The sequence below is a fragment of the Homo sapiens genome, chromosome 9 (genome assembly GCF_000001405.40).
Source record: "Homo sapiens chromosome 9, GRCh38.p14 Primary Assembly".
Taxonomy (NCBI): Eukaryota; Metazoa; Chordata; class Mammalia; order Primates; family Hominidae; genus Homo; species Homo sapiens.
In genome coordinates this window covers 24,778,052-24,786,021 of record NC_000009.12, presented here as the reverse complement: position 1 = coordinate 24,786,021, position 7,970 = coordinate 24,778,052, and positions in this window count along the sequence as shown.

Here is a 7,970-nt window from a genome sequence, read left to right as displayed (position 1 = left end):
GTAAACCAAGACAATGATATTTTTTCACTTTGTAAATATAGCAAAAGGTGCATCCTCTAATTTCTGAACCAAGCTTCTTTCACCATATCACATTGGCTCACATATTTGGGCAGGTGAATCTCCTTGTACTCAGGACATTCCTTATTTTTTTTAATACAGTTGGGGTAGGTTCCCTTTATTCCCATAAGCTTCCATTGTTTGGGTGACCGAAGACTCTTCGCTATGGGCTAGTGAAGTTGTTAGCTGTTGAAAGTTAAGGGGCTAAACTTCTACATTTCAAATATTCCTCCAAGTAGCCTATGTTATACTGGTATCATAAAGATGTAGAGGAAGCACTTAAAGAAAAGATTAAAGGAGGAAGAAAGGAGGAAAAATAGAATTATGGGGAATATTATAATAATGTATAATGACCACATAAAGTAAAATGAGGATGATGCATTGATCTATTTGTATCCTTCAAGTTTCATATCTGTACATGAATCAATAAAATTAAATTCACATTTTTCGTAGATCTTTTACATCCTCAGTTATGCTGAATGTAGTACTCTCATTTGTTTTCATCACAACAAAATGTTTAATTAGTTTTTATCTTTTGTTCTGGCATAGGATACTCATTTGAGGACAAGCTATGGTATGTGAAACTGTTGCTTCTTTTCGAATCAATATAAAAATGACCTGATAGTGATGATGACGACAATGGAGTACCAAAGAGGAGTAAATCAAACTCTTCCTAGTAGATTAAAAAAAGTCACAGAACAGGGAAATGTACAGCTATTTTCATAGAAACGTTAAAGAGCCACTAATATGCTTAATTGCAAATAAAAGGAAAAGAAATCTGGTTACCAAAGCAGAAAGATTATTTTGTAAGGATATTGGGGAGTTCAGTAAATCAAAGGTAAGCTGGAAGACAAAGCTCAGCATTCAGGCAGGAACCAATATAGTCTAGGAAGCTATGAACATAATTATGAGTAGAGTTTGGTTGTGAGAAAGACATTTCAGGTCCTGCCACCATGAGACATTATTGCCTAATGGATGCTGCTGGAGTTATAACTCCAATACCAATTCCACCATTCCCAGTAGGCACTGGACTCTGGATACTAAGATTAAAGTATATTTTAAAGGCCCCACAAGTTGCATCTAATTGACCAGGCCTTAATTATCTGCTTTCATTTAACCAAGGCAACCTTAATATTCTCAAGTTGACTAAACTTCAGACATGTTTCTTCCTGACATGGCTTCTGAAGTTCCTTTTCTTCGAATATTTACTTTAGAAAACGTGATTGTAAATTATTTCTTTGCCCCTTTGAGATATTCTCCTAGCCACTTGTCAGTTTTACAATGCAGAAATATTTTTTTCAATAACTTGGGAACTGTTGTTTTGAAATATAATCATCAAAAAAAGATTATACCAGCCTCTGTGGGAAGGTAGGATTTTAACTTAACTTTGATAAAGTAAGTGACAATTAGTAAACACATATTGTGTAATTTCATTTGTTAGTTGGTTCACCTCTCTCCAAACGTTCTCTAGTACTTTCTCACAAGTTCACCCTAGCACTTAACAATTTTTCCATTTTTCATTTCAAGGAAGTTGAGTTAAATCTCTCTGTCCTATTGCGAGAGGCCTGAATAAAGTCTTTCTTGCCTGTTTAACTTGTCAACTGGAATTTTTCTTTGACACACTCCAATTTCTATGGGTCGCAAAGTACAAATATTTGAACCTTTTACAATTTTCCTAAGTGGAGGCAGAATCACCTCTCACCAAGACTCAGGCTGCAAAAAAAAAAAAAAAATTCCCAAACACAGGGAGAAAGTTTTCAGGCTGAATGGCTAAAACCAGACTAATGCCCACTATTTACCTGCAATATAATGTCTAAGAGACTATTATTCTTTCTTGCTCACGCTGAAGACCAATACTCTCATAATAATGGTACTTTTCTGTTACAATGAATTTCATTGAAGATCCTTAGGCTAGGTTATTGGACAGTAAGCAGCTTCAAAACTATCATGACTAGCTTCAACAGATCTGTATGGTTGGAAATGGTGACTCCCATCATGATGATAGCTAGTATATGCTGAATAGCTTGCCAGGAACATTTTTTTGCCAATTCATTTAAAAAATGAACCGTTTTAAAGGTTAGAAACTTTTTAAATGTTATTTATTGGAGCTCCAAAAATAACCATGAAAGAAAAGATCCATCACTTACCACTGCTTCACAAGTTGCAAATTGACTCTAGGTCTACACACATAGCCAGCAATCTATAGAAATAATTTAAAAATCTAAACTCAAATTAGAATATACATCAAAATAAAGTAAACATTTGAACTTTGGTAGTCCCAACTCCAAAACTTTTACTCTTGCTGCAATAATTATAACCCTATTGAAAATATTAACACTAAAACAGTGAACTATAATAATTACAATGTGTTCATTTCTTAGCAAAAGGGTCTTGTGGCCATGCTTTTGTATTCAAAAGAAAATAGCACCAACGTACTCCTGTATGAGCACTTTCACTAGTTTTAATACAGTTCAATATATAGAACTTATTAAAAAATGCTTTGGATGACAAACACACTGAAAGCTATCTTTTTTCCAAAAACTAAATATAGTTTTCCCTTAGTCCTACAACTTGACTCCATTTCTCTCTTGCTTTTTATTTGTATTTTGTTTTTACAGCTAAACTTTTCATAATAGTTGCATATACTCCATGTATCTTCCATTCTTCCAATACACTTTTGAACTCACTCCAGCTGTTAGGATTTGTTTTCACCACTTCAAGCAAAATTGCTCTTTAACCTGATGACTCTTAGCCCTCATTTATTTGGTCTTTTGGCAGCATTTGGTAAACCTTTATTTTCATTAGCGTTTGTGACAACTTTTCTCTTGGTTCTTATTTGAATTCATTGGTTCCTCCTTGGGTTTCTTTGCTGGTTACTCTTCACCTTTCTTTATTATAAATTAATTTTATTGTCTCAGGGTTTAGTCCTCTGATATCTTTTAACCTCTGCTTATATTAAATTGACTTCATAGGAGTTCTCATCTCACCCTTGTCTTTAAATATTTTCTAAATACTGATAATCCTTAAATGTTTATTTATAGCTCAGATTTCTCCTCTGAACTCTAAATATGTGCATCCTCTTCCTTATTCAACATATCCACTTCAAAAGGGAGTTACGGTTGGATATAATTTATTATAGACACTATTTTCAAAAAGACATAAAATTGTATACCATGTTGGCTTCGAAACGTATGAATGAATTATCTCTTGCCTGCTGTACCAATAATCATGGCTACTCACAATTAGGGTCGGTCTTCAGTCCATCCCGTCACACTGTGCTAAACACAGTTATGTTCACTGGCTGAGAAGAGGTTACAAGTTGAAGCAGGATGCTTTCACAGTGATCCACTTGTTTTGAGCCTCCAAGTGACAAATTTATAACTTTTTTCATTGTTTTCTAAAGAAGGACATCTGAGCAGTATTTTTTAGGGTTAAAATAATGACCTGTGAAACACACTAGCGGTATATAATTGTAGTCAATATGTTTCACTACAAAAATTAACTTATCAATTTAGGGAGTTGATGTTAAAACAATTTGCGACTAGACCTAAAGTAAATTTGATTTATCTACTTCATTTATTTTTCCTTCAGATTGCACAGGCCAGGAATTATTTTAAGTACTCCTAATACCATGGTTGTCTTCCATTTCTGGTCCCTTAAGAAATATCAATAGTCAATTCACATGTAGGTTTAACTAGAGTTTTATCTTTATTGAAAATCACATATGAGGAGACCTGAATTAGTATCCTGTTTTAACAATTTTAGTGCACCCTATTTTCACTCTTGTAATAATTTTTAAAATGTCATTAATATTTGGAGCGCTAACTCTGCTTTTGAAGGTCACAAAAAAGCTGAAATGTGGATTATTATATGTCTAAATATTAAAAGACAAGAATATCCAAACATAAGTATTTTATGTTAATTATTCAGTTTTGGCATAAGTTAGTGGAGTTTACTAGGTATCAAAACACTATGGAAAAGAATTGTATAACCTTTACTTTATGACTTAAAGGATTCTTACTCAGTGGGGCATTTGGCTCTCAGCTCTCAAAATCTGACATATTAATGTTCCCAGTTTCTGTTTTCCAGAGCTGAGACCCTGGACTCGGAGCTTTGGACTAAGCATTCCCCAAGAATGTAGAACCCACTTGTTGTTAGTCAGGAGGGTTACAAGAACCTTCACCATCTATAGATGTTGATTCCCAAACTCCTGTGTACTGAGTTGAAATCAGGAATGCTGGGGAATGATTAGTCTAAAGCTCAGAGTCCTGGGTCTCAGCTCTGGGAAATATATATATATTTATATTTATATATAATTATATATTTATATATTATATATTATCATATATGTTCGATTATATAATTATATATAATTATATATAATGTAGTTTATATATATGTGTGTGTGTGTGTATATAAATATATAAAACACCACAGGAAATAGGTATTCCAGATCTGAGGGCAGAAGAATTTTCTTCCAAGCTTCTGTGACTAAGTCTAAGTCTCCACATATTACTTCATTTCTGGTAACTAAACTTCTACTTTGTTCCCTTATGTTTGAGTTCAGTTTTAATAACCTGTTTGCTAGCTTGGGCTTTCTCTTATTGGAGCTCTTTAATGTTCTTTCCATTCCCTTTATTCTCACCAAGAAATTAAGCCCTAATCCCTTATACAGGCAAAAACCTACTTATCTGTGGTAGATTTCCCATATCCCAACTGCCTTTCTGCCTCCCTGACCTAGTCTTGATCAATTAATCTGATTAAAAATAGTGGCTTTATTTTTACAATGACTGTGTCGGGGGTTTTTGTGACTGAGCTGGGCTGATCCTGTGCTCCAAGAATCTTTATGAAAGTGATTCAATATTGGATCAGAATTCTTAAAGAGGTTAACTGCACTCACCTTGTACAATAATAAGCGATTATCAGAAAGCTTCATAGAATAATGAATACACCAGGAATATAGCACAGGAATTCAAACCTAGCTGTCATATTAGAATTTGTCTTGGTATTTGATTGCTCTTGTGAGAGATGCTTTTAAAAGAGATTTTTTAAATTTAAAATTAAAATTTATTTGGCATGCTTCCTTATTAAAGTGTTAAGCCACTATATAGCTGAATATTTTTAAATGTCTTCATAGGGATTCCCAACTAAGGTTTTTAGACAACCATCCTATGTCCATAACATTTTCTTTTTTTTTTTTTTGAGATGCAGTCTCACTCTGTTGCCCAGCCTGGTGCGCAATGGCACTATCTTGGCTCACCTCAACCTCCCCCTCCTGGGTTCAGGCGATTCTCCTGCTTCAGCCTCCCGAGTAGCTGCGATTACAGGTATGCACCACCATGCCTGGCTAATTTTGTATTTTTAGTAGGGACAGGGTTTCTCCATATTGGTTAGGCTGGTCTCGAGCTCCCAACTTCAGGTGATCTGCCCACCTCTGCCTGCCAAAGTGCTGGGATTAGAGACGTGAGCCACCATACCCGGCCAGTCCATAACATTTTTACACACACACACACACACACACACACACACACACAATCATTTTAAAACATTTTTGTTAGGTCCACAGCAGAAAGTATTAATTGAATTTCAGTAGAAGCCATATATCTTAATAACATATCTTAAGAATTCATGGTAAAAAGTCACTGTTAAAACCAAACTTTGGAGAAGTGTATGGCAATAAGTGTTATACTCTCAAAAATTAGCAGGAAGTGAGTACTTCCTTCTTCGAGCATTTTTCTCATAACTTTTACCTACAAATGAAAAAGATAGGAACTTTTTTATGAGAGGCTCTTTGTCATTGAGGCTGCCTTCATGGCATGGTTCTATTACCTAAGAGATGTCAACTAGCTGTAATTGGTACTCACCAACCAACCGATTTTAAAATAATCATATATATATAAATCTGATTTCTTGCCCGCAATATCTCTCTCCTTCAGTCTTTCTTCATTTTCAAATTTTCCCATAATTTATCAAGTCATTCTGTCCACTCTCATCTTTCACTCCTCCCTTTCCCTCATTTCCACACCTTTAATCAAGTTTTTTCCCCATTATATCATTAAATGGATTGCATAGACAATTTAACTCTGAAGAAAGAGTAAAATCCTCTCCAAATAGTTCCAGAAATTCACCAACATCTAACTGTCCAAGGTGCCAAGAAGTTTCCAGGGATATCTAACCACACCCAATGGATATCATTCATGAGAAACAATCTAAGGGTCAAGTAAGAAAATCTGAATCAATGGGTTGTTGTTACAGAGTTAAACATATGGAAGAGGGAGCAACATCCTGGAGATGAATCGAATTATAGAGTCTGAAGAAATAAGTAGAGAAGGCACATTGGAGAGCAAGTATGTGGGAAGTCAGTAAGCTTCTACTGGGGCTGAAATCAATCACAAAGAAGAGATGGAAAGAGCCACAGATGCAAAGCTGAGCTTTGGTCATCTCTCATCTCTACGTGTCACCTTATATGTTTCTTTTATACCTGGAGTAAAGTCATGAGTAAAAACTCAAAACAGAATTTGCTAAAATCAAAAGCCATAATAACCTTGCGATCAAATAACTTACTTGCTAAACCAAATTAATAACAATATTTCTTATCCATCATTTTGCCTGTCATTCTATATCCTCTACCTTATACTCCTCTAAATATTCCTAGTTCTATTTTAAGTAGTTAAAATAGTATGAAGAGGTAAAACTATATATTAGCTGTGCCTGTGTTAGGCAGGAGTAGGGGAAAATAAACAGCTATTAAACCTTCACAGAAATTATCCTCTAAGGTAATGACTATTTATTAGTGAATTTGACCTCAGCATATCTTTCTCTGAACACGCTGTTGTTGACTTCCAAATGTTAGCATGAGATTTTTATCTTACCTGACCCAAACTAAGAGGTTTTGGTCTTCTTGATCTCCCCAATTTAAGCCTGATATTAGTCTAGTAATTGAACTCAGGAGCTCTTATATTTTGCATATTAGTGTTGATTTTTTTCTCAAACTATGATTAATCCTATGATAGTTCTTCAATATTGAATTATAGAGATGCCTAGTGAGAACACTGAGCAGAATGTTTTTAGTGACCTCAGACCAAGGTAATAGTTGTACATATCTTAATAGAAAAAACTGTTTTACTTCTGACCAATGTGCCAGAGCTAATACAGAAAGTCTAGGACATGGACACTACTTTAACAGATATGGATATAGATTGGATAAAATGACATATGTTTTCTATATTTTAACTTCCTTATAGCCAATTATTTTTTCATCCATGTGAAGTGAAACAGAGATTGTATCTCAGATTTTATTTTTCATATGTGAGATTTCTATTGAGTAAATATTGGAAGAGGCAGTTCATGACTTAACGAAAAAAGCTGTATTTTGCTCAAAAACTTTATTCTCTCATTAAACAAAATTTTCTTGGAAAGAGAGCTATGATGTTGAGAATTGGCCAGTTAATTCACATTCAGAATTTCAGGGTTTGAATCTCTGCTATGTCCCTTCATCTCCCTGAACTTGAATTTGCCTAAAATAATAAAAAAAAAAGCTACTTCAAAGAGTTCATGTCAGGGTAAAATGAGGTAATATTTCCAAAACTTGAGCAAATATTAGGTTCATATAAATATTTTGACTGTAGACAGAATGGTTTAGGTAGTGATGCTAATATTACATGTTCTTTAAAATTATTTTACCCCATTTATTTCATTTATTTACACACAGACATTTTATATATCCAAGTAGGATACAGGCTTTACCTATATCATGAGTAAATATCCTATACTCTCATTTTTTTCGAAGTTAAAAATATCATTACATCTCAGTTTTTATCATAGTGTATTTTTAATTAGAGAGTGGCATTTACTAACATTGAGATAGTTCATTTTCCCACAATATTATATGCACTTCTAGAAGGATGAGAATC